General features: G+C 50.7%; 1 protein-coding gene across 17 annotated transcripts in view, besides 1 other annotated feature; it reads left to right on the top strand.

Annotated features, from left to right (window-relative positions):
* Nucleotides 1-27,282, top strand: part of ATP2B2 (ATPase plasma membrane Ca2+ transporting 2) — a 384,094-nt gene that overhangs the window by 244,820 nt on the left and 111,992 nt on the right. For all 17 annotated transcript variants that reach the window (NM_001438036.1, XM_017006484.3, XM_006713175.5 and 14 more), the window contains one exon: nt 13,435-13,952. In NM_001438036.1, the coding sequence (NP_001424965.1) occupies nt 13,754-13,952 (199 nt within the window). In that variant the 5' untranslated portion in view covers nt 13,435-13,753. The remainder of the gene's footprint in view (nt 1-13,434; nt 13,953-27,282) is intronic.
* Nucleotides 2,818-3,112: a silencer, noted in NCBI's record as "tiled region #15222; HepG2 Repressive DNase unmatched - State 9:DNaseU, and K562 Repressive DNase unmatched - State 8:EnhW". NCBI's record gives its function as "represses a minimal TATA promoter and a strong SV40 promoter by Sharpr-MPRA in HepG2 and K562 cells {active_cell/tissue: HepG2 | K562}" and the evidence as "EXISTENCE:reporter gene assay evidence [ECO:0000049][PMID:27701403]".

Below are 27,282 nucleotides of genomic sequence, written 5' to 3'. Positions count from 1 at the left end.
GCCTGTTCTGTGCTGGGGACTGGAGAGGCCCTGTTCCTGGGGAGCTCAGGGCCTAGTTGGGGAGGCAAGCTGGCAAAACCCACCCCAAGGCAGTGGGTGGAGGGTCAAAGTATGGATTTAAGGAGTGAGCCACACGCGACGGGCTGGCAGAGGGAAGAGAGTTGGAATTTGGAGCAGAGGAATTGGAGAGAACTTCACAGAGAAGTTGGCATGAGGACTAGATCTTGGAGAGTGAGGTTTGGATTAATGGAAAAGCAGGTGGTAGACCATTCTGGATCCAAGGAACATATATGCAAAAGTTGGAAGGCAGGAACTTGCATTAGTTGTTCAGAAAATGGCAAGGACCATAAGGTCCCTCAGTGGGACCCAACACTGGGTGTTAACTTAGACAAGACCCCAGAGAGGCCAACTCGGACCCCAAGGAGGCCAGCTCAGACCCCAGAGAGGCCAGCTCAGAGCCAATCAGGTGGGATGTGGGAAGCTGTAGTCACGAATATGTTTTCTTAAATAGGCACTGGTAGCCAGTGAAAATTTTTAATCCAGAGACAGCCATGCTCAAATCCAAAAGGCAGCATAATGTGGCAGCTTCAGAGTCAGAAAAGCCCAGTTCTACTCCCAGATCTGCCACTCCTCATTAGCTGTGTGAGCTTGAGCGTAATGTTATTTTACCTCTCTGAGCCTCAGTCTCCTCATCTGTAAAATATGCATAATAATACCTACCTCATGGGGTTGTTGAGGGATAAGGTATGAGCAGAGCCTCACACAGCCTCTGACATGCAGAAGCCACTCTAAATGGCAGTCACTGTCAGCTTCACTCTGTGGTCACTGAAGGAGGATGTAAGGCTAGAGAGCCAGGGGGCTGAGGGGCTGTGGATGAACCTAAACCAGAGTTGGGAGCCTGGGGAGGGGAGGAAGAGGAGTTAGGCTGAGCCTTTATGCTGATGCTTCCTGGGTCTGGTCACCGGACTGGACATGAGGGAAGGATTAGAGTCAAGAGTGGCCCAGATAGTGCTGTGGATGCCCTTAGTAACACAAGGGTCACAAAAGAATGAGGAGACTTAGGAGAGCCTGAGGGCCTGGAGGACCTTTGGAGGGGACATTTGGCAACCACAAGAAGGTCGGTTCTGGAGCTTGGGAGAAAGGCCGTGGTGGAAAGGTCGGTCTGGGAACCACCCATGTTAGGGTGAAAGTTGATGCCAGATGGGTGTCATTGCCCAGGGAGAGGCAAGGCATTAAGAGGGCAGGACCATGGGGAAACCTACAGTTACCCCAAAACAGAGAAGCCATGGAGGCCTGGGCAGACATGGTCAGAGAAGCACAGGAGAGTGGGAAGAAGGAAGGGAGGTGCCATCAGCCGTGGGCAGGGACGTGAAGACTGAAAAGGGCCCTGGAGTTTGCCAGTGGGGGTCCTCACCAGAAGCCACCCAAGGGCCTAGCCTACCAGGAGGTGGCATTTGGATGGTTAGGGCCAGGGAGTTGGAGATTATTTTGAGCCACAGACTGAGTCACAAAAGCAAGGCAGGACTTTAGAACCCAAAACCAGGAAAGTGTGGGCTACAAGAGGAAGGAAGCCTAGAGATGGAGGAACAGGAGCCCCAAAGCACGAGGACAGGAGTTCTGCTCATTTAAAATTCACAGCCCCCACCATCCGCTCATTCATCTCTGCAGGGTGGGGGCTGCAGACCTGTGTTTTAACCAGCCCTCAAGTGATGCCAACATAGGTAGCCCTCAGGGAACCACTTTGAGAAGCCCTGTTCTGGGGTCCTTGAGCCGCACCCAGAGAAGACTTTATCAGGAGAGGAAGGAGAGAACACCTTTACCATGAGGGAGGGTGCAGACCCAAGTGCAAACCTCTGCTTATCCCCACGTGCTCTCAGCTGCTCCTCTGGCTTCCTGGCCTTTTGATTTTCCTCCTTCAGATCTGAGGCCAAGTCAGTAGCCTCACAGAGATCTCTGGCTTTCTGCCAAGGAGACTCTGGGTGGAGATAACCAGGGCTCAAGTGTGGAAGATGAGTGCACAGTCACCAAACCAGGGGCACCTCTGCTTTAGTCTAGAAGAAGTAGAACAGTGTCTGGCCACAGTAGTGAGAAATAGAAGCTAAAAGACACTTCCACCCATGCACATACGCAAATCCCTGCTGGTACCTGCATCATTCTCATTTCCTCACTCCTTTGAATCCAAGAGTCCTACTTTCTGCTGTTTTAATGCCTCTTTCTCAATATAGCTAGATTTCCTAGCATCCGCATTCTTGGAACACATAGAAAGACTTTCCTCCAAGCCTTAGCTTCCTGTTTCTCTGATCTGGACCCCAAAGGACTCACTCAACTATCCAAAAGTAATATCCCAACTTAGACACATCCCCTGGCACCTCTGTGGGTGAGTTTTTCCTCCCTCACCCCATGGAGGAAATAATTTACTAAGCTCAGTCAGACTGAGATGCTACCACTTAAATATGCTCCCAGTTCTGGCAGAAATCAGAAGGAAAGGACCACGCACAGTACAAAAGAATGAATCACTAATGGTGGAATTTCTGGCATCAGTGGCAGATGGCACTGATGGACTGAAGTGGGTCCACAGTGCATGCACTTCAGTGACCCTGAGTCACCTTTTATACAGTATCATTTTGTTAGCTCAGTCCTGCCCCCTAAAAGCCTAAAAAACAGGCTTTGAGCATCAGCACTAAAATATGGGGTCAGCTCCCCATGCTTGCTCACAGAACTCATGGAAAAGGCCCAGTGCCTTCCCCAGCGCCTACACCCAGCACCCTAGGTGTTGGAAGGGGGTTGCACCTTTCTCTTGGCTTTCCCAACCCCACTCTTCATTGGTCAGCATTGCTGTCCTGGAGAGTTCCTAGGGGCACTTAATAACATCCTGCTCTGTGTCAGCACCTCAGTGTGTGGACAGCTCCTTCACATGTTGTCCTTAACACCCACCTCCACCTCCCTAATCAGCACTGTGCCCTTGAGGACAGCTCCCAGGGAAGCCAGTTCCCCACTGCCAGCTTTGTCCTCCCCAGGGGTACTGTCTTTCAGCACCAGGACCACGTGGGCAGTTCTCACTCCCAGCCTAGGTTAGTCAACCTGCTGGGGAGAGAGGGGGCCTGTAGTTATCAGGTTCCCTGACCTCAGCTATCCAATCCCTCCCCAGCACTGACCTCCGTCCATCCATCAGCACTTCATTCCCAGAGACAGCTCCCTAGGCCCCAGCCCTCCATGGTCAGAGGTGAAGCCTGAGGCCTCACCAACCAGCCAGTGACCTGTTGTGTGTGGTCAGAATACTGACCGCAGAAGAACCCTGTGCCTCACTGTAGAAACCAGAAAGGAAAAACGGCAAAGAAGTTGGTCTGCTGGACAGAAGGGTGTGAGCCTAGGTTGCTGTTAAGAGTGCCTGTGTATGAGAGAGGGCTGGCCCTGCCACCCCTTAACCATAAGACCTTACACCAATCACTGCACACTCAGTCTGTCTTCTCCTGTATAAATGGCGGGGCTGGAGTACCAGTGCAAAGCATCGTTGTGAAGGATTAAACAAGCTAAGTGCATAAAGCAGTGCTGAGCACCTAGCAGGAATGATGTTGGTGTTGCTGTTATCATTTTTTGTTCTTCTTCCAAGCCTCTTCTTGTAATCCACAGGGACGGAGCAGACAGTGGGAGAGAATGAGGGGGATGAGGGCAGAAGAGGACAGTGTCATGTTGGCCAGTTAGGCCAGTTAGGACCTGGAGGCTGGAGGCAGCCAGTGCTGCAAAGAAGACCTCAAGAATTTCAGTGCAGCAGTAGGGAAAGAGTTGGGCAGTGCAAGAGAGGATGGTGGGATGTGGCTGAGGCATTTGGCTGAAACCAGAGTACAATGTCCAGAGCCGCTGGCCCATCCCAGGCAGGGCCACCATCCCCAGCATTCCCACGGCATGTTCCCTCTCTTGCAGCCCAAAGTGAAGCTTCCCCAACACTTTTCTGCCTCAAACAGGCTATCTTGTCTGGATCTGCTAGTGACTTTACTGTTTTAGCCTCATTAGAAACTCCACAAATATTTTTTAAGGAAATTATTTCTAAACATGGAACACATAAAAGGTACAAATTTTGGAAGGCAGGCACCGCAGTCAGAAGCCCAAGGGTGGGCAGTGGATGTCACAGATAGAAGGTGAATTCCGGTCAGGTCATGCCTTCCTGATTCTAGGGCATTTCTCCTTCCTTCGGCCTCCAGCCAAGCACGACTTGACCTGCAACTGGGATGTCCATTTCTGCTAGACACAAGGCAGCAGCAGGGAAGCCCTGGGAACTGTGCATGACCCAAGAAGCAAGGATCCTTGAGGGTGGGGCTAAAATAACCCTTCAACACTGAGCTTCTGTCCAGATTGCACCCTTATTTTACAGAAGAGGAAACTGAGGCAGGAAGGGCCATAGTGCAAGTTGTTGAAGGACAAGGGGATGCAAAGGAAAGGCAGAGGCTTTGGACAGAGAAGACATACTGAAACTATGCCAAGTCCTACCCATATGGCCGTGGCGATTGTGGCCTCTCTGAGCCCCAGCTTCCTTGCCTATAAAGTGGGGACAGCAACACCACACAGCCCATGGAAGGCACTTGCTAAGCAATTGCTGTTCATCATAGTCATCACACCAAGATCAAAACTGAGTGGATCTGATTCCTGCTGTTCATCATAGTCATCACACCAAGATCAAAACTGAGTGGATCTGATTCCTGCTGTTCATCATAGTCATCACACCAAGATCAAAACTGAGTGGATCTGATTCCTGCTGTTCATCATAGTCATCACACCAAGATCAAAACTGAGTGGATCTGATTCCTGCTGTTCATCATAGTCATCACACCAAGATCAAAACTGAGTGGATCTGATTCCTGCTGTTCATCATAGTCATCACACCAAGATCAAAACTGAGTGGATCTGATTCCCAGGGAAAACCCGAACCAAAAGTTGTGCAGAAATCACTTGACCCAGCCTGCACATCCTGACCATGGGGTTGAGGTTACTGGGGGGCTCTGTGTGGCAGAGTGAGCAGATGTTAAACAGCAGGAAAAAGGATCTGAGTGTCTCTCTTGCTCTCCTCATAGTCCCAGTGCCCGGGGCAGGGCCTGTGATGCAGCTCATTAGTTTTATTGGGTAGGTGGATGAACAGATGGATGGAGAGATTGATGGATTGACAGATGGACAGACAGCTAATGGTCAAGCAGACAGATGGAAGGATGGACGAACGGATGGATAGACGGATGGATGGTTGGATGGATGGATGAGCAGAAATGGAAGGTTTTTCCTGCCATCTAACATTGGCAACTCCTCTGAGAACAGAGGACAGTGGAGTGAGTTGACCCTGGTAGGAAGGTAAGGGCTGGACCTCCCCTTCCTCAGGCCAGGCGTGAGGGTGAGAAGCTCCACAGGAAGCCCTGGATCCCTCTCACTGCCTGCCCCTTAGACCTACGTCTGCCACCTGTGCCTTCAAGGCTGATGCAAGGCGGTTTCTTTGGGATTTTTTTTTAGATTTTCCTTTTCTGGTTAACAGAATAGGAGTTGTCTAAAAATAGCACTAAATTTGCTTCTGAGGTATTCATTTTCAGTTCCCTTCCTCTTTCCCTGTTCTCTCTTCTCAACTGTGAGAGTTTGTGAGATTGTCTTCTTCAGCTTTGAGCACATACACAGACACTCACACATCATGGGGCTTGCACACCCAGAGACAGGTGTGGCACAGATATCTTGGGCTTGCTCTCTCTCTCTCTCACACACACACACGCACACTCATGCTGACATGCTCCAGTAGACCTGTGTGGCACACCTTGTCCTTTGGGGTCACTCACACCAACCACATGTCCACTGATACATCATAGAGACCCTCTTTCCCACACACAAAGCACGGTCACTTACAGGCGTACTCTAAGACCAGCATTTGCACACTTCTTCTGACACAGGTGTGCCCCCAGACCCTGTCCCACTCATACTAAGAAAACCACCATAATGCACTCCCACTGACCCTGCACACCCACACTCATCTTGCATATCTATACTAGCCCTGCATACTCACACTAACCCTGCACCCACATATGCCTTGTACGCCCATACACCCTACACACCCACACTTAACCTGCACAGTCACACTAGCCATGCACACTCACACTGGTCTAACACACCCACACCCACCCTGCACACCCACATTTACCCTACACTCACACACTCACCCTACAGACACACTGATCTAGCACACTCACATTGGCATGCCTGCTTACATCCACACTCACCATCAGGCTCTCCCTCCTTACACACACGTGCAGAGGAAATTGCCTCCCCCAGAGAGGATATCTAAGAGAATGGCTGAGGCTCTCTGGGTGAGGACAAGGGAGGAGCTGTTGGCCCTCCACCCCCAACTGCAGGCTGAGTTCACCTGTTTCCTTGGGTTCAGCATGGAGGAAGAGGGTTCCCCATCACTGGGGCAGTGGGCCCCCTACAGAAAGGCCAGAATTTGCAACCAGGAGAGGAAAGCAAACATCCTACCTCATGGGAACTATAAGTAGTTCATCAAGACCAGAACAGAAGGGAAACTAGCCTTGTTTGCTGTGCCAACAAGCTGGAGGCCTCCCCAGCCACCTGAGAGGTGACAAGGAGCCTGGTGGGCATGGGAAAGTCAGAGCTGAGTTCCCTTTGAAATATGGCACTATGGGGTACATGCTGGTCTGGGAGCGATTGGAGGCAGGGAGTAAGTTAAATTTTCATAGGAGAGTCACCATTTAACAAGTGTTTCCTCGTTGCCAGAAACTGTGCTAGCTCTATCTCAATCCTTACAAAACCCTGTGAGGTAGGCTGTAGGGTTGTCTCCATGTTGGGGAGGGTCAACCAAGGCACAGAGGATTAAGAGCCCTGCCCAAGTCACATAACTAGTGACTGGCAGAGCTAGGCTTCCATCACTGGGGATCTTCAGACCAGACTTGTGCCCCACCTCAGTCATTGATGATTCAATGGAAAAGTGACCTTAAAAATACATATTAAGGTGGCACTTAAATTCAGCATGTCTTAAAACAGAAGAATTTGGCATCCAGAAGTTATTTTTAGCACATAATTCATGTACGACTGTCCCAGCTACCATCCTTCAGTTAGGATTTGAAAAGCTGTTGGTTTGGGGATTTGTTTTGTTTATTTTTTTATTCTTCCTTCGAAAGATAGATTCCTTCTTTGTTAAATTAACTCCACAAACAAAAAAATATTGCTCCTTCCTCTCCCAACCTCCCTTCTGGCAAAGACTTTTTATTAAGGCACCCCTAACCTATTCTTGAGTCATTGAAATGTAACAATACAGAGTAATTTAAATGCTAATAAGATGAAACTGAAATGCATAAATCCAATATTGTCAGAATGTTCTCCTGGATTCTGAAGGGCCTGGCACATCAGAGCCTGAAGGGACTCCAGAGAGCACTAATCCAATCCCTTCACTTCCCACATGGGGAAACTGAGGCCCAGAGAAGAAAGGGGCTTGCTCAGGGTCACACCACTGGAGCTGGGAAAACAAGGAGGAGATTCTCACTGGGCTTTGTCTCAGTTGGCTGTGTGACCCCTAGTGTGTTGCTCAACCTCTTTAGGCCAGGTCTGGCTATATGCCCTGTCCAGGCCTGTGTGCCCATTGCTTAGGGCAGGGGTGCTCACCTGTGCAGTGTTGAGAGCTGACTGCAAGTGAACCTCATTGCAACCATGAGGGAGGAACATTTGCTAATAACTAGGAGGAGGGGAGCAGGGGGGACTCAAGGAAGCCAGTGTTTCATTTTCTGCTCTGGGCCAGGAGCTGGCTCTCATTGAGTCCTTGCAGCAGCCTGTAAGACAAACAGGGTCATCCCCACTTTACAGAGGAAGCCCAGCAAAGTTAGATGACTTCTCCAAGGTCACATAGTTCATTTAGTCTCTCAGCCATAGAGTGGTAGGTCACATGATATTTGGATGAGGCAGCAAGAGCCTGAGAATCTTCTGGGGTTGTGGCTGAGGGAAGTCGTCCCAGCTTCACCCTCACTCTGATGCCTCATTACAAAGAGGGGAAACTGGGCAGTGGAGGGCAGTGCATGCATCTCAAAGAAAAACTATGACTGCTGATTTTGTTATCTTTCCTGACCCCCCAGAAAACTCTTAAGGTAGGCAGGGTAGGAATCACTAGCCCATCTTACAGATGAGCAAACTGAGGTCTGAGGACCTATCTAAAGTCACAGCTTCCACAGGCAGTAGACCCAACACCAAATATTTATTGAGTGCCTTCTGGATGCCAGACACTGCACTAGGTACAGAAGAGACATAGCAACTGCCCACATGATGCTCTCAGAATCCTGGGGAAAGAAAACAGTTAAGCAGGCTCAAGCAATACAGTGTGAAGTGTACTACAATCTGGGAGGCACCTGGGAGTCAGGAGCATTTATGCAGTCTAGGTGGTCAGGAAAGGCTTCCAAGGAAGGGAAACTGAGGCTGAACAGGACAGCAGCTGTTAGGGAGGCAAAGGCCCAGGTAGTGAAGAGTGTTCTGAACAGACACATGGCACATCTGCAGGAGTCAGGCATCTGAGGTATTCTAGGCAAACTATGGGGTCCTCAGTTCTGTCAATCTGTGAAAAGATCATTTGTATAATATCATACAAGTAGCTTTTGTGCTGGTGGACTTCACATTTTTCCAGCAAATCTTGCTGTCAGAGCAAGCACCAAAGTGGGCTCTACAGCTTGGAATGAAAAAACAAAATGCCCAGAAAAGGGGTGACCTCATGTTTGCACCCATGAGATGAAGCAGGGTTAGGGAACAAGCCACATCAGAAGAGGTAGAGAAGGAAGTATGAGATCAGTCGCCTTCAGGGTGGAGTTCTGATTTTTAATTGATTTTGTTATCCCAGAGTTCTGTCCCTCTATACTGGCTCACACTGTTTTCCTTCTGCACCTTTTACTAGCAGACAGTTGTGTATTTCAGTTTCTTCATGATTCATCTTTTTATTAAGTCCTTCTTTACCTGAAGAAAAAAAAATCCCTACTTGGAGCTGAGAGGAAAGGCATTCCTGGTTACCCCGGGCCAGTTCAGGTCTTCCTGCTTTGTGTGTCCACAGCACCTGGGGGTCCCCATGATGGCAAACTCTTCAAGTCATAGAAATCACTAATTTAGTTGTCTCTCTTCTTCACTGTGGGCTCGTAGAGGGCAGAGTTCCTCTCTGGATTGTTCAGTGCCTGGCACTGTGTAGTACCCAAAACACAATCATTGAATGGATGGTTGGATGGGTAAGTGGATGGATGGATGGATGAGTGGATGGGTAGATGGGTCGGTGGGTGGTGGGTGGGTGGATGAATGGATGGAAGGGTCAGTGAGTGAGCGAGTGCATGGATGGATGGATGGATGAGTGGATGGGTGGGTAGATGGGTGGATGGATGGATGAATGAATGGAAGGGTGGGTGAGTGGGCAGGTGGATGGGTGGGTGTGTGGATTGATGGGTGGGTGGGTGGATAGATGGTTGAAGATCATTTTTCATCTTATCACAGTAGTCATTAAAATCAACAGTAGCCCACTAACTCATGCCTACTGTTGTGATCACAGATATAATTGCTGCTAACGATTCTCATAGCTTGCTTGTACTGTCAGAGACGTAATTATCAGTGCCTGTAAGCCACTCCGCAGGTAGCACAGGCACAGATAGAAAACAGCAGCTCGGGTTTAGAAAGTCCCTTGTGGATTGCAAAGCACTTTCATTCACATATGGCACTTCATTTAAGTGTCATAAGAACCTCATGAGGGAGATTCACCAGGGGAAGCAGAAAAGCATCCTGATTAGGAATGTGTCTCTGGACCCAGACTGCCTAGGTTCAAATCCCAGATCCACCACTCACTAATCTTGTGATCTTGAGCAATTTACTTCATCTCTCTTGGCCTCAGTTTCTTCATATGTTCTAGGGATAATAGGTCTCATAAAGCGCTTTTATGGATTGACAATAATAATCACAATAATTTGAGTGCTGACTATGTTCTGGGCTTGGTTCTAAGTATTTTAAACGAAATAACTCATTTAAGCCTCATAACATCTATGAGGTAGATACTCCTATTCCCCTCTGCTTTTTGTAAGATAATGAAATCAAAGTTAATTTCCTTCCCATTCAGCTGGGAGATGAAGGAGCCAGAATTTGAACTCAGAATGAGTGGTTTCCAGAGCCCTATGCATAACGCCTTGCAGCGTCTCTGAGATAGATATTTCTGTAAAACACTCAGAGTGCTTGGCACCTAATAAGCACTCAATAAATGCTTATCATGTGCCAGTCAGGCAATGTTATATATCAGTAGCCCCAAATTATAGATGCTGAAGCTAAGACAGAGAATCCAGGTGACTAGCTCAGAATCACAGGTGATTTCTACTGCCAGTAAGTTTAGTGCAGGTGTGGGTGGTAAATGTTCACCAGCTTTGCCTTCACCCAATCCAGACTTGTTGCTTAAGCGTCAAGGACTGAGGCCTCCTGGGGCTCCAGGTCAGTCCCAAGTTCCTTCTGGACAGAAGGTCTGCATCTCCTCATCTCAATTCTTTTCCCTGAGTAAGCAAAGCCTGTTCTGGAAAGTTCTTAGTCAAATCACCTCCCCAGCGCTCACCCCTCCAGCGGGGTTCAGCCTTCCCCCAGCATCTGAGACCCATCTCTCCTACAAGCCCCAGCCACTGCATTGGCCTGAAGGACCCCTGACCTCATTTCCTTCCTTCTGCCCCAATTGTAGCCCATTTGCCTCACTCTATCCTTGTCTTACTCCTGCCATTTGGATTTTCTCTACCCAGCTTCCTGAACATACACCAAACACATTTACACTGAGCAGGCAGCAGGAAGAGCACTGCTTAATGTAAAAGCTCCCGCCCCATCCCTGCACGGACCTAGTGCCTCATCCAACCCTGAACAAGGGCCCACATGTTCTCAGAGGTCTCTCCTTGCCTCCTGTGGCTGGCCCTAGACTGGGGAGGGAGCCGTATTGAGGCTCTGCACTAGCTTGTAGCAGGGGGAGGAGAGCATTCGGCCCAAACCCAAATGCCAACACTCTCCCCAGAGAGGTTCAGCATCCTAGACCAGGCCCCTGCCAGGCCCTTCTTACAGGGTAGTGGACAAGAGTCCAAAGTCTAAGGTTGAAAAGATCTTCCACTCCGTGGCATCTCCCCACTGTGTGACCTTGGGCAAGTGACTTCACCCCTCTGAACCTCATTCGCTTGGTCTATAAAATGGAGGTAATTCTAGTATCCACTTCACAGTGTTGCACAGAATGAGACAGTGTCTGTTTGCTTTTCATTCATTCACTTATTCATTTAACAATTGTTTACTAGGTAGCTACAAGGAGCCAAGTGCTTTTCTGGTCAACCCTTATAGAATTTACCTTGGATGGATGATACAGAACTCATCCCACAGTGCCTGGTACATAGTAGATGCTTAAGAAATGGCAGGGGAGTATTGTTGTTTGTTTTTATTCACATTCTTGGTCCCTGCCTCACCTGCTTCTCCGAGGAATACATTGTTGGGGTCAAAACTCATGGATTCTGTGGATGGTGTGTGTTCCATCCATGGCCAAGGAACATGGCCTCTTTTGAGTATTGTAGGTGGGAGCACCAAGCGTGCAGTTTCTTTGGTGTCTCATGTCTCTGTGCCTCTTCTTGAGGTATCACATCCATTTTATGTTCTATTCCATAAGAGATCTGTTAGTCCCAGTGTAAAAATAATCTTCCTACTGCATCCCTGAGTAAAAGCGTCCCTTGTGTAAGACATTTAAGGTTTCTCCTGTGGCTCCAGCACCCAGTGACCCAAGACTGGGAAGCCCCAAATCCAGAAACACACTGGATTTGAATACAGTTTATAATTAGTTCTCAGTAAACTGGGAAGTAGTCAGGGGTAGGGGTAAGGAAGAGAGACTGTTTTGCCCCCAATTTGCAGATGAGTGAACCAGGGCTCCAAAAACTGAAGGAACTTGCCCAGGGTCCCACAGCCAGGATTTGAACGCAAATCGCTCCAATGCCAGATACTGTGTTCTTAGCGGCTGCCTGGCACAGTCCACCCACCCACCAGGGCTCTTCGGAGACAAACGCGGGAGCACCCCCTAGGGGAAGGGGAGGAGCCCAGGGCTATGAGCCAGGAGACCATCTCCTTCTGCACTCCTCAGCACTCTCACTCCGTGCGGCTCTGGAAGAGTGCTTTTTCCCTCTCTGAGCTTCAAGTTCCCGGCTGGGAAAGTGACTTAGCCCTAGAATGCCTCCAGCTCTAAAATGTGTGAAAGACGAAAAGGTTATGAAGGTGATAAGGCAGGGGAGGAGTTGGAGCTGAGGAGGGGGTCAGTCCTGCCTTCCTTCTCTCAGCCCTTCCCCTCACCGTCCTGGGCCCAGGATGGCCAGCTGTCCATGACTGCGGGGCAGGGCCACTCCCTGTGCCAGACCCAACCGAGCTCAGCTGGGGCCCTTTGTCACCCAACGCTTGCTGGGGCCTCGGCCTCTGGTGTTGGGTGTCGGGGTGGATTGGATTCTCTCCTGGCAGCCCCACAGATGCCGCACTCCTGTAAGGGTGGCCGGGCGGGCAGGGAGAAGCCAGAGCTCCCACCTCCTCCTGGGCTCCAGAGAGGGACGGGAAGCCGCTGTCCCTGGTGCTGGTCCATAGGGACCCCCCTCCCCCTGCCAGGTGAGGGCTCCATGGACCTGAACTCATACTGGGACCAAGCTCTGGGCTCAATGACATTCTTGTGACTATGTATGACCTGGCTTCTTTGGCCAGGCCAAGGGCCTCGATTAATATGGTGGGGGCCTGTGGGTGCAGGTGGGGGCTTTCTCCCATCCCCATGCCTATGAGACCTGAGTGGGGAGGGATGTGGGAGAAGAGTGTATTGGTGGACACAGGTGGCATGGGTGGAGGGAGGATTTGTAGGGGCGGGGAACCTGGGAACCGTGTATTTGGGGGAGAGTGTCCCAGATTATTTGGGCATGGGGCGTGTGTAAACATGTTAAGGGTAGTGAGAGAAAGAGGGAAATGGAGTCTGGGTGTGCTCAGAGGGCCTGTGAGCACAGCAATTCTTGAGGGAAAGGGGTGGGGAGGTTAAGTTGTATGGCTCAAAGCTGGTGCATGGGGCCTGGGTGTTGACGTGTGTGTGGCAGTGGCACAGGACACAAGGACATGCCAGAAGGTATATGTCGGGGGATGTGTGTACACACAGTGTGTGTGTTGTGAAGCCAGTGTGTTCCACAGCACAACACACAAATAGGGAGTTAGAGTGTGTTATGGGGCTATGCCTTGAGGGTGGCATATCGTGGAGTGCCTGGGTTGGCGCTAGTAGCATTGGATTTACAGTGTGAGCTGGTGTGTTAGGGGGCATGGGTGTAGTCAGTGTTGTTTAGGTTGCTGTGCGTGTGCCTGGGGCCTTCCTGAGCACCTGTCCCATGTGGCCTCCAGTGCCTGGCCTTTGTCACTCACTCTGTGCTTGTCCCACAGGAGCCACCACCCCTGACCATGTAGATGCCAGTTCCAGGGAGCAGCATGGGCCCCACTGAATGGAGACTCCTGGGTCTACAGCCCTGAGCCCCTCCGGCCCCTGGACCTCGTCCCACACCGGAGGACACCTCTTGGAGCTCACCACCACTGTCACCAGCCCGCCTCGGCCACCCCCACCCCCCGGGACCCGGAGTCGGCCGCCTGGTGCCACAGCTGACCAGTGAGGGTGTGCTGAGGACAGCCACAAGCAGCCATCACCCGGCAGCCTCTTGTCCAGCGCTGACCCTTGGGCCCAGCCCGAGCAAGGACCGCAGCAAACATGGGTGACATGACCAACAGCGACTTTTACTCCAAAAACCAAAGAAATGAGTCGAGCCATGGGGGCGAGTTCGGGTGCACAATGGAGGAGCTCCGCTCCCTCATGGAGCTGCGGGGCACTGAGGCTGTGGTCAAGATCAAGGAGACTTATGGGGACACCGAAGCCATCTGCCGGCGCCTCAAAACCTCACCTGTTGAAGGTAAGTGTTCAAGACTTGAACCCAGGGCTGCAGCCTAGGTGGCCACCATCTGAATTGGCCACAGGGACCATATTCATAATATGTAACAGCAGGGATGTGTCAGAGAAAGGCTGAAATGCCAGAATGGCCATTGTAGTGCATTCTAGCTGAGTATCAGCCCCTCTGGATAGGCTGGGGAGCAGGGCTTCATCAGGGGTTGGGCATGACCCAAGCCACCTGCAGAGAGAATGGCAGGAAGAAAGCTGGGTCAAGACTGTGTTCTGGAGACAAGGAGCCCCACAGCCGCAGAGTGGCGAGTTCAACATTCTGTTACTATGGGAGGCACTAGTTTCTGAGGCAGAGGCAGAAGGGCCACTGGGTAGAACAAACATGGAACCTGCACCCAGGCCCAGGAGGGGCTTTTGCTTTCCCCGCTTAGCCCACAGTGGATGGATTTGGGGGTTCCAACCATGCAGGCCCGGTCCTTCCTTCCCCAGGCCCCAGGAATTCCCTAGTGTGGGCTTGAGTGTGGAACCATAGCATGACTAATGTGCAGCCAATTCCCTGCCACTGGGCTGGAATCAAGTCTGTCTCTCAAATCCAGACTCTGGTTGGGGATCGCTGGGGCTCTGGGGCATCACAGCTCTAGGGTTGCTGGGCAGACAAAGCAGTAGGAAGATGGATGTGATAGGAAGGGTGACAGATGTCCTTGTATGTCCTGCCTTGAGGGTGGAGTGGGGCTTTCTTGCAACTGCCAAAATTGAGCAGGCCTGGAATCTCTACAGTGTGTTTCAGCTCCTGGGGGCTTTTCTGGAAGGGACCAAAGCTGGGTCCTCTGCCTCAAAACAGAGACAAGGGAAGTCAGCCCAGCTTGGGTACCAGACCTCATGGTTTGGGTTACCTGCCACAAGTTACCTTCAGCTCACCATGGAAAGGAAGCATTCCCTACGTTAACCCTACAGGCATGTGTGTGAGGCTCTGCAGTGACACTCCCAATCCTGAACATTTGTGCAAAGCTGCACCGAGCCTCAGTTTTCTTCTCCTGGAAAATGGGCCAATGCCTACCTGACAATGCCTAGTGCGTGGCTGGGCATACAGTAGGTGCTCAAAGTGGCAGCCATGATTATTCTAAGGAGAAGTGGATGTCAAGTCCTTCCCCAGATATCTACCACCACCTGGGAGGCAGGCAGCATCTGAACTGTTATCCTTCATGACAGAAAAGGAGCCTGTCTCCTCTGTCCAGTCCTCTGAGCCCTGGGCCCTGCTGGACTCTAGCCCTGGCAGCATTTCCTGCAGGGCTTGCCTGGCAGTCCACTGGTCACATGTGCCTACACTCCACTACACCCAGCAGCTCCCAGCTGTCTGTGTCCCTCTTTGTCTGCTCTCCTGGTTCAGAAAGAAAAGCTAAAACTGGTTCTTCTTCCCACATTGACTGTTCTCACTGACATTTTGCCCATCGCCTGAGCCCAGGCAGAAGTTTAGAAACACCTTTTCTCACTGGGTGCTATTTTTTTGTTTTGGCAGGGAGGGTGGGAATAGAGAAAGTAACCTTTCCTCATAGTGTGATTCTGGCACGAGGCTTAAAAACAGCTGCTTGTGGCCGTAAAATGGGCATCGGCTTTGCTTGGAGACTTCTGGGTCCCAGCTTCTTGTGCTCACTTATCCCTGGCAGAATGGTCCGTGCTCCCCTCCACCATCAGGTTGGCACATGAGGACGCTGGCAGGCAGGGTTGTTCAAGTGGCCTTTGCCTGTTGATTGGGGACTGGGAGATTGCCTCAAATCAGGAATTCTTAAATGTCTCTCAGCCCCAGTCCCTGGGGAGAAGCTGATGGGCACTGTGGCCCCTCTCTCAGAAAATCAGCCAACCACACGCAACAGGTGTGGCTCACACTATTTGTGGGTTTCTAGACCCCCTCAAAGCAGGGTTGTGGACCCTAGTTAAGAAAACCACCTACCACTCCCACCAGAAAGGCTCCCCAGAGCTGGGAAGTTGAGCAGCTCACGGCCAAGTTCCAGCAACCTTGCAGGGCCATTTCCGGCTGGTTCCTGGGAGCCCGCTCTGTACTGCTAGAGGGAGTATTGCCTAGCTGAGACAGGAACCCTATCTGCTCTCTCTGTACATCCCATGCCCAACCTCATGCCTGGCACAGATGAGGACCCGGTAAAACCCTGAGACACAGCTACTAAGTCCCAGCCTAAGGTGGGGGAGCTCTCAGACAGCTGAGTAGCCCAAGCTGCAGATAATCAAGACCAAGTGCAGCAAGGACCCCAGGACTCAGCACTAGTGAGGCTGGTGGGCAGTGAAGGTCAGGGAAGGCTTCATGGAAGGGAAGGTGTTTGGACTTGGCTATGGAGGAAAGAGAAGGGAAAGCATGTAGTATGGCCTACAGCAGCATTTCTTAGAGGGGATCCCACAGAATAACTGGTATGCTGCAAGAAGTGAGGCTTCAGGTGAAAAGTAAAGAACTCTGTTTTCTCATCTGTAAAATGGAAACAATAATGACATCTCTATTGCTCTGCCACCTGCCAGCCGTGTGCCTTTGGGCCTTTTCGTCTGACCTCTCTGAGCCTTGGTCTCCTGGTCATTCATGAGAACCTAATGAGATCTCTGATGGCCAAGATCTCTGAGGAGAAGGGAAGCCCATCATAGGATTTCCTGCAGCTCCTGCCACATTGGTCCCTAGAAGCATCTCCCAGGGGGCTGGGAGGTACAGGCTGGAAGAGATTTGGGGAGAGGCAGAAGAGCATAATGCCACAGACCCAAACTTGGGCATCCCAGGTTCAAATCCCAGCTTTGCCACTTGCCTGCTGTGGGACTCTGGGCAAGTTACTCAAACTCTTTGTGCCCCCGTTTCTTCATCTGTAAATCATGGATAGTAATAGTGACTACCTCACAGGGCTGGGGGAGGACAAAATGAAGTAGCTTAGAACAGTCCCTGACACACGGGTAGTTCTGTGTGGTAGGATTCAGCCCCAGCAACTAAACACCTCCATTTCCCCATCAATAAAATAGGCTGTGAATATTGAATAAAATCAGGTCAAGTGCCCAGCATCGAAGTGCTCAATAAATGTCAGCTCTTGTCATTGTTTTCATGATGAGTATCATCACTCGGGAAAAAGTGGGCACGTTCTCCGGAAAGGTTGGAATGGTGGCCAGTGTCCACACATGAGAAACACTTTGTACAAGGCTGTTATGCATCTCTATGACACATGTTCCTGGAAACGGGTGCTGTTACCCCATTTTATGGAGGGGGATATGAGGGCTCGAGGTCACTGCCACAGTTCAGGTCAGAGCAGGCTTTGAACTCAGCCCCATGCTCAGACCTGAGCCAAGCACGGCCACCTGGGAAGAATCCTCTGGCATCCACTGTAGGACAAGGCCTGAATAGGGTGGGGCCAAGGGACACTTCCTTTACTCTGTCTCATATGGAGCATTTGTCCCACCCTGCTTGGCCATCTTCTGATTTAGAGAAATCCTTGGCACAGCCCCAGCCCCAGTTTAAAAGCTCCGTGGTCTGGGCTGTGCCAGCTCCAGACACAGGGACTCAGTTTGACCATTCCCGACACCCCCTACCCCTAATCTGCTGACGAGTAGGGAGCTGGCCTCTGAGTCACACTGCAGGAAATGCTCCAGGCCACGCATAAATTAGCCTTCCCATTCAAGTTCAGCTAATTTTAGGCAAAAAGATCTCTGAAAGTGACAAATGGGGTTTGAGGCCACAGGGAATCAGCGCTCACCCAGGGCACGGCTGGCAGCCAGCTCAGGGTGTGGCTCCCACAGCCCAGCAGTACTGGATGTCCCACCTGGAGACCCTACTTTCCTGACACCTGTTGGGTAAACCTGCCCCCCTGTGAGGCTGTGAGGCCAAGGGCAGCCTCTACCCCCATCTAAGCTCCACTCCTTTCCTCTTCCACTGTTGGTTCTGTTCCATTCTAATTAACGCCTTTATCTTCTTACCTCTACTGTTCCCTTTCCTTCCACACTGTTTCAGCCAAGGACATTAAAATCCCAGAAACCTGAGTTCCATTCCTGAGTGTCTTTCTCTTCAAGGGACACTGCGAGAGTTCAATTTAACCTCTCTGAACCTCAATGAACTTATCTGTGAAGTGAGGATAGTAACAGTACCCACCTCATGCAAATGGTGTGAGGATTAAATTAGATAAGCCACTGTGCAAGGCAGACCCTAGACACCTACAGAGTGGTGTTTATTATCATTGTTATTATACTCTAGTGTTTCTTTTAAAAACATGCATGGGCCCCATCCCCTTGAAAGAATTAGGCAGTCAGACAAGACACTGGCGGTGCCCAATGCAGAGTTAACATGCCATCAGAGGACATGGAAAGATGGGCGACTAGTGCCAGGTGGTCCGGGAGGCCTAGAGGCAGGAGCTCTGTGTTATTCTCCACCATGTCTCCAACACCTGATGCATTGCCTGGGAGCTCAAGAAATATTCACGGAAAGAAGAAAAGGAAGAAGAAAGAAGAGGCAGGGGATGTCCCAGTGCCCCTCCTTTCATGAGACAGAAGGCTGCAGGCTTGGGGACAGACACAGGACACCCTGTGTCACCCATGGAGCAGATGGCTCCAGTTCCCTGAGCCCAGCGTTGCGCTGCCCTGAGCCATTGCACACACAGCCCTCATTGCTCACTTCCTGACACCTGCACCCACCTCGGGTTGTCAGAAAGGGTGACGATGATAGCTTGCTGTTGGGTGTTTGCCACGTAGCATGTTTCCTGGCGGGGTTGATAAGGGGGACAAAGATGGGGCGGCAGCAGGGTGGAGTGGGAACTGGATACTGCAGAGTGCTGTGAAACGGAACCTCCGGTTAATTTTGTATGAATCCCACAGCCTGCCCAAGTGGAGGAGAGAGCGGGGCTGAGGGAGGACGAGAGAGCAGATCATGGGAGATGGCGGGTACTTTGTGCTGCACGTGAATATGATATTGAACGAGAACGTCCATGGGGCTGCCACTAGCTGGGCAGCAGGAGGATGTGGAGGCAGGGGCAGGGGTCTTCCGTGTGTTGTTGCCACATTCTAGTTCCCTCTGTGTTCTGTCAACCCAAGGATCACTGAGACCCTGAGAGGTCAACAGGGAAGCCAGGGGAGCCACAGACTCGGCGGAAGCCTGGGCAGGGTCATGCGTGGGGGCTCCCCAGACACGGAGTCGGCATGGGGAATTCACTGCCTGGCCAGAGATGAGTGGGAAAGCCTTGCTGCCCCACTCCAGCGCCTTCATGTGAAGCGGCCCATGCTCCATTCTAAGGCCCAGGACTCTGTCAGGTATGAGGCCGAGAGGAGAAAAACTCCTGAGTATGCAAGAGGCTGAGGAAACACAGCTGCCTTCTCAAATAAATGCAGGGGTGGAGGGGAAGACATGATGACTGGTGAGGTGTCCCAGCCTCAGCTGTGTCACTAAGTATGTGGGAGACCTCAGGCAAGATACTTAGTCTCCGACAACCTCAGTTTTCTCATCTGTGAAATGAGAACTGTACTACTTCCACTCTCTGCCTTTTGTAGACCGTGAGTTGAAAGTGCTTTTACAGAAGAATCTAGGCCCAGTATTTGCTGAGCATTTTTATCCATGAGGGCTCCATCTGACAGAAACCCATCTCGAACTGGCTTATGCACAAAAGGAGTTTTCTGGTTTGTGCAACTGAAAACTCCAGGGATAGGTCTGGCCTCCGGCACGGCTGGCTCCAGGACCTCAAATGCTGTCAAGAGGACTCTGTCCTTCCCTCTCCTACTTTCACTTCCGCTGTCCTCTGTGTTGGCTTCATTTTCAGGCGGGTTTTAGCACATGGGGGCTCCGGCAGCTTCGGGTTAACATCCTCCCATCCCGGTCAATGCGGCAGCCAGGCCTTTCCTCATAAGCCCCGCCCCATTAAAAATCCCAGACTACGCTCTCACTGGGCCACTTATAGTCACATGGCCATTCCTGAGCCAATCCCTGCAGCTTAAAGATGGAGTGGGCTGATAGATCAGACCTGGTCACATGCTCAACCAGAGGGCACGGGTCAGTCCACCAAGACCCCAAGGAGATTGGAAGAGGGAAGGAAAATGGAGGAGAGGCTGTGGACCTGCTGCAGAATGGAAGGTCTGTACTGTGTGCTGGGGAGGAAGATCAGAAAGGTTCCCTGCTCTTGAGGAGAGCATGGCCTGGATTGGGAGAAAACAGAATTGAGGAGACAGCTGAGGAGAGAAGGTAGGATTCAGAACCACCTGAAATATAACATGGCTAAAGATTCTACCAGCCAAACCACGGCACCGTTAGTAATTACACCAGGGTGCTAGGCATGAGCTGGGACCGTCCAGGCTGACTGGGTCTATGACTAGTGTCACAGTGGGGAAGAGGCCAACTTGGTATCATGGTGCAAATCCTGGCACCACTTCTTATCCAGCTGTGGGACGTTGGACCAGTTATCTAACTGTGCCTCAGTTTCTTCATCTGTAACATGAGGTCATAACAGTGCCTCTTTCATAGGGTCGCTGTAAGCATTAAAGTAATATGTGCAAAGCACTTAGTGCCTGGCACATGGTAGGTGTTATTTCAGCATTACTGTTATTATTCTCTGCTGGGAACTCTCTGTGTGGCTTCAAGGGAGACGTTGGGTTTTAATTAGTGAAGAAGAGAAAGGCAGCTTGTTTGGTAGATCAATGGGCTTGAGCAATGCATGTGAGTCTTGGTTAAAAAAAATGTCAGCCCCATATTTGATTTGCAATGCTTATTATACACCTCCCCCCATCACCACTACCATGGGGTAAAAAAAATCCTTCAAAAGCACAGTTTAATGTGAAGTTCCAATGAATCATGTGTGGATGCTTTCCAGAATGCTGCCTGCATATCCTTCTGAATCATCAATAAAATAAACCTACATGTTAATCAATGCATGCTATCGATGGTCATAGGCTGGGGTGGTAGAGTCTGCTGGGCAAATAATTCTGCAGGCCACGGGGTGGCAGGGAGAGCACGGGACAGATAGATAAAGATCCTGCCCGGCAGCTGACTGAAGGGCTTCCCGGTGATTCCAGCAAGACTAGGGAGTCTTCATGTCCCGTGAGCGATGCTGCTTGGCTCACTAGGTGCTTCCCGTAATCAGGCACCCAGAGAGGTGGTAGAAGAGATGGGTTGTAAGGGCAGCATTTCCACGGGGCCTCACTTTAGGCAGAGCATTAGGCAGACCCACCATGCAGAGGCCTGAGTCCCAAAACTACCCTGGCTCTCATTTACTGTGAGCGAACTAAGAGCCAGGCCTTCCCAACACATTGTTCCCTGGGATCCTCACAGCAGCCCCTTGAGTAGGACACAAAGGCTTGGAGAGGAAGGGGGCCCTGATTCTTACTATGAAGGCATTATCATTTTGCAGAATCAATATGCACTAATCACTAAGTGCCTACTATGTGCCCAGAAAAGGGAAGGAATATGGAGACCATTGACTTTGAGTCCCAGCTTCACCTTCTAAGTCCTTAAGTCATCCCCTCACTCTGAACCTGTTTCCCCACCTGTAAATGATATGATAATAACACCCACCTCCTAGAACTGATGGAACATCTCCATTGCTTCCCCCTGCTTCTAATATGCCAAGCAGTGATGGAGGTGGACACACATTTATTTATTGGACAAATATATGTTATGCACCTAGTATGTGCAGGCTTGGGCCACATGTACTCTTCTGGGAAGAGACCCAGATCTCTCCCATATGCTTTCTCAGGGGCAGTGTCTGTGTGATGTGGCTACACACAGGACAGGTGGGCAGATGGGGACAGGGCCGGCCTTCAAGGATATCCCTTCTTGGTTCAAGGGGGCAGAGGATGTCAGACAGGAAATGTCGGGTGCAGTGGCTCGCACCAGTAATCCCAGCACTTTGGGAGGCCAAGGTAGGTGGATCACTTGAGGTCAGGAGTTCGAGACCAGCCTGGCCAACATGGTGGAACCCCATCTCTACTAAAAATACAAAAATGAGCTGGGTGTGATGGCGCACGCCTGTAATCCCAGCTACTTGGGAGGCTGAGACACAAGAATCACTTGAACCCGGGAGGCAGAGGTTGCAGTGAGCCGAGATCAGCCTGGGTGACAGAGTGAGACTCTGTCTCAAAAAAAACAAAAAGACAGGAAACAACTCCAGGGGCACAGAGGCAGGCAGGAATCAATAGGAAAGATGGCAGCCAAGGGCAGGAAGCCAAGGCCTCAGTGTAGCCAGGGGGAGGAAGGAGGAACCCCTTCCAGATCCCCTTACTCTCCAAAGCTCCCTATAGATTCCCAGGAAAGGGAGGTGCAAAGGTGGATTGTAAACTGCTCCCGCCTTAAGACTGTCCCAGTCTAGCTGTGCTACTAGTTACTAGCCACGATGCTAGTTATAGCTGTGATACTAGAGAATAATTAACATGCATTGAACACTAACAGCAGCCAGGCTCCCTGCTGAGGCTTCACGGCATTTTCTCCTATAATCTTCACATCACCCCTGTGAAACAGGAACTGTCATCATCCCAGCTTACAGATGAGGAAATTGAGGCTCAGAGCACCACGTCTAACAAGTGACCTGGCCAGGATTGGTGCCTACACTGTCTGGCTCCCAAATGTGCACACATGACCTCCTCGGTCTGCTGCTTTCTATTGACAAAAATAACTACTGCAAGAGGAAATGTTCTAAAGGTTGATGAAGGAGGAGTGATCCCCACCTGATTGGGGACAAAATCAGGAGTAGCTTCCTCTGAGTGAGGCCTGAAAGGACAGGGCAGAATTGAGTGTGCAAAGATGGGGAGGGAAGCACACGCAGTTAATGGGGCGTGAGCAAAGGCCCTGTGATGACAACCAGGATGTGTACAGGGAACAGTGAGGAATTCGCTGTGCCTGGAGCCTAGAACAGATCGCAAAGCACAGAGGACTCCAGCCCATGAACTACAGATTCATTTTTGTAGACTCTGGTTTTTAGTCTGTTTGTTCATGCTGTGTATGTAGACTGTCAGGTTGGATAATAGTGTTTATGTCCCTGTGAGTGTGAAATGGGCCTCCAGCTCCATAAGATGAGGCCCTGAGTACAGCCTTCTCCAGGTGCATGGAGAGCCAGTGAATTCACTGAATGCAGGGAAACCGAAGGTTGGGGAAATGGTTCTCACACTGGGTTCCCCAGTGCCTTGAGGTTCCACAGAAGTGCCCTACAGGACAAGGGGATGCTGAATGGATGGGACTCTGGGGCTTCTCACCCACCACCATGAACCAGAGACAGAGACACTCCTTTTTTTTTTTTTTTTTTTTTTTTTTTTTTAGATAGAGTCTCACTCTGTTGCCCAGGCTGGAGTGCGGTGGCACGATCACAGGTCACTGCAGCCTCGACCTCCTGGGCTCAGTGATCCTCCCACCTCAGCTTCCCAAGTAGCTGGGACTACAGGCATGTGCCACCATGCCCAGGTAATTTTTTTTTTTGTAGAAACAGGGTTTCAAAAATTAGCCGGGTGTGGTGGTACACGCTTGTAATCCCAGCTATTCAGGAGGCTAGGCACAAGAATCACTTGAACCCGGGAGGCAAAGATTGCAGTGAACCAAGCTGGTCTTGAACTCCTGGCCTTAAGCGAACCTCCTGCCTCAGCCTTCCAAAGTGCTGGGATTACAGGCATGAGCCACTGTGCCCGGCCTGATACTCCTTTTTAAATGCTTTGAAGACTTTGGTTTTTTAACAAAGTGTTGAAAAAAAGAAAAAAAAATTGAAAACCTCTGATACTGGAGAAAAATGCTAAACTAGAGTATCCAAAAGCCTGGGTTGGGGCACAGATCACATAAGTTCTTAATGCATCATTTGTTAAATCTGTGAAATGGAGCAGACACTGTCTGGCTTCCAGGGGCCACACTGACTGTGGATTAAATGAGAGAACACACAATGTGCCTGGCCCAGGGGTCTTAGGCGAAGTTGGTCTTTGCGGGGGCCCCAAGGGGATGCATGTGACTGTGCAGGAAAAGGGTGCTCAGTCCACCCATGCTGGGCAGGGGCGGAGACCAGCCTGACTTTGGCCCTTATCGACTGAGACCCTCTCCAAGCTCCCTCCACCCTGTTCCATGCCTCAGCCTCCCCATCTGGAAAATAAAGAAGGTTGGTCTAGTAGTCTCTGAGGCTTGTCCAGGCTCAGACATTCTACTACTGTGAAACTGTCTGCCTTGATGCCCCCATTCTGTAGACATCAGATGGGTCAAAGGGTGGCTGACTCACAGCCAGACTCCAGGCCTCTCTTCACTTGAAAATTCGTGACCTCAAAACCTTGGCCCATCAGTGCCCAGGCCAGGGCAGTGCCCTTGGCCCTTGGCCCTTTGCCCCAGGCCTTGGCCCAGCAGTCCTTTTCTACCAAGCAGCTTCAGGGCCCTCCCACGCTGGCTCCCAAAGGTCGGGTTTAGCGGGGGACCAGAATTTGGGCATCCCTGGCAACAGTTCTCTAGCTCCCAGAAGCCCAGGGGCCTAGACCCCAGTTTCCAATTACTTCTCCTCCCTGGGTCTCAGTTTCCTCATCTGTCACACGGGCCTAAGGGGTGAGAAATGTTGCTGTATAACTGCAGGCGGGCCGTCTCGAATGCTAGTAGGACCTGAGTCATCCACCCAGCCTGGGTCCCACAAACGCCTCGAGTTCAGCTGGAGAGATCCTCTGCCTCCAGGCCTGCCTGTCATCCGAGAGGCCCAGACAGGGCGGGTAAGTTATTTATACAGGCCCTCCTCACCCCACAACGATTATCTTACTCCTCCTGGTGCAATCCAGGCCCCTGCTGTGGTTTCAGACCCAGAGTTATTTATAGTCAGTGGAAATTAGTGCCTCAGCCGATGGCTCCCTAGGACCCACCTGCCCTAGCCTCCACCCCAAAGGGAGAGAGCAGGCAGCAGGCAAAGAAGATGTCAGAGGTCGGAGGAGAGTGTCACATGCAGGTACAGTGTGATGAGAGTATCTGACACTGGATTGGCAGGCAGTTGGACAGAGCAGTCGCCAGGAAGTAGGACGAAGGAGAAACGGCCCACACTGAGGAGGGCAGGCTGTTGGGTGAGCCCTTGGGAAAGCTCTGCTGGAAAGAACAGCAGAATGGAGTGTTCCCTGGGGCCTCCCCCTTCAGCACACCCCAGCTCAGTGGGGTCAGAGCAGCTGGAATAGGAGCCTGAGAGACTCATGGACCCATGAGACAACAGGTCTGGAAGGGCCTTCAAGGACCATCTGATTCAGTAATCCCAGGGTGCACATGGGGAGACTGAGACCCAGGAGAGAAGGGACTTGCCCAGCACACAGTGGGTATGGGCCAGGGGGCAGAGACACCCGCCACCCCCCTCCCTGCTCTCCCCTGCAACCTCCTGGCTCCCTGCAGAGCCTCAGCTCAGCCACGCCATCCAAAGACCACAGACTGAGTGGCTTAAATGACAGAAATTCATTCTCTCACAGTTCTGGAGGCTTGTAGATGGCCATCTTCTCCCAGTGTCTGTTCACATTATCTTCCCACTATGCATATCTGTCTCTCTGCCCAAATTTCCTCTTTGTATACGGGTGTCAATCATAGCATGGATTAGGCCCACCCTAATGGCCTCATCTTAATTTAGTATCTGCAGTGTCCCTATCTCTACAATGACTCTATCTCCAAATACCACCACAATTTTAAGGTACTGAGGGTTAGGACTTCAACATATGGATTTGGGGGAGCATGATTCAGCCCAGAACACTCTGACATGGGAAAACCACTTCAGTCCTCAGAACTGAAGCTTTCGCTTCTGTAAAGTGGGGACATGAACAGGACAGCAAGCGGACTGTAATGAGGGACACGCTCACTGCTGTACTGATGTGTCTGTCCCCCAAGCCCGATGCTCAGTGGGCGTTAAGAAGTGGGCGTTAGGAAGTGGCAGTGTGGTGAGAGAGTTAAGAGGCAGACATCCTGGGTCTGAACCCCAGCTTTGCCACCCACTAGCTATGTTGTGCTGAGGAAATGACATCACCTCTCAGAATCTGTTTACTCAGTCTGTGAAATCATTCTTATTCCTGGGCTGTGAGAAGTAATAAATGAGCTGATGTGAGTCAACACACTTAGCACTGCCCAGGAAACCCCTGGAAGTGGAGACCATCATCATTATTATTATTACTATTACTATTATCATTATCATCATCATCATTATATAGGTTAAGAAGCTGAGGCCCAGAGAGGGAGGCATCTTGCGCAGCCTCACACAGCCATCTGGCACAAAACTAAATGAGAACTCAGGTCTCCCAATCCACAGTCCCAGATTTTTCAACCACGTCTCTATGTGACACTAAAGGGGAAAAGAAGACAAGTAATTCCTAAGTGCCCCACATTAGGAAAGTAACTAAGTACCTTTTAGCTTCTCCACGTGCCTTTGGGACATTATGGAAAAAGATTGTTACAGAGAATGCAAAGCCACGTGGATGAGGCTCAAGAAATAATGTGATGTTGAAAAAGTGGGTTTAGCATCGTATGTCCTGACAATGGCAACACCTCCACGAAGACAGATGCAAGGGGAAAGGGGCTGGCAGGAAACATCTAGAATGTACCCCATGTTGTGGCTGAAGGGTGAGACTGGGGTGATGGTTCTTTCCTCAGCCTGTTTCTGCCTGTGTGCCGATGTCGCTCCACTAAGGCACGTCGGTCGTAAACAACAGAAGCTGACTGGGCAGCATAGTGGAGGCAAGAGGGCAGCTTAGGAGTGGGCTCTCCAAGTTGGAGCAAAGGCTGGAAAACCCAGCTCAATTTTCCAGAAGGAAACGGGGACATGCAGGGATCAGTGGCACGACTCACTAAGTAAATGTCCCTTTGGGGAACTGCAGGTTGGGAAAAATCCACTACAAAAGCTTCTTTTGGTCCTTGTATAGCTCAGGATTCCAAAGCAGCCTGTGCTGGTGAATGTTAACCCCAGCTCTCTAGTTGCGAGGGAATCCTCTTTTGCAGTGGGTGCTGATTTCCTTGGTGTAAATACCACCACGTTACCCACGTGACATCATTAAACACAGAGTTGGGACGAGAGGCGCAGCCGCACACCATTATACGGTATTTCTACCATGCAGATACAATAGACTGTCTACTAGAGAGAATAGATAATAGTGAAATGTAGTAAAATAATTAGGAGGTGATAAGTTTGGGGTATTTGTTGCCTTTTAAAATATAATTTATATAATTGTAGGTTTATATAATTGATTTCTAATGATGGCTATAATTAACAACCAGCTCACAAAATACCTGAAATTTTAGCCATCAGCTCTCACAAGCAAGTGTGAGCTGGCACCAGCAAATCACTGATTCTACGTCCCAGGAGACAGCATCCCTGGGAGGTGATTGGCCTAGCTTGATCACATGCCCACGCTTAGGCCAGGAAGGTGGGGACACT

Source organism: Homo sapiens, chromosome 3, assembly GCF_000001405.40.
Source record: "Homo sapiens chromosome 3, GRCh38.p14 Primary Assembly".
Lineage (NCBI taxonomy): Eukaryota > Metazoa > Chordata > Mammalia > Primates > Hominidae > Homo > Homo sapiens.
This window is presented reverse-complemented; position numbering and strand designations above follow the sequence as displayed.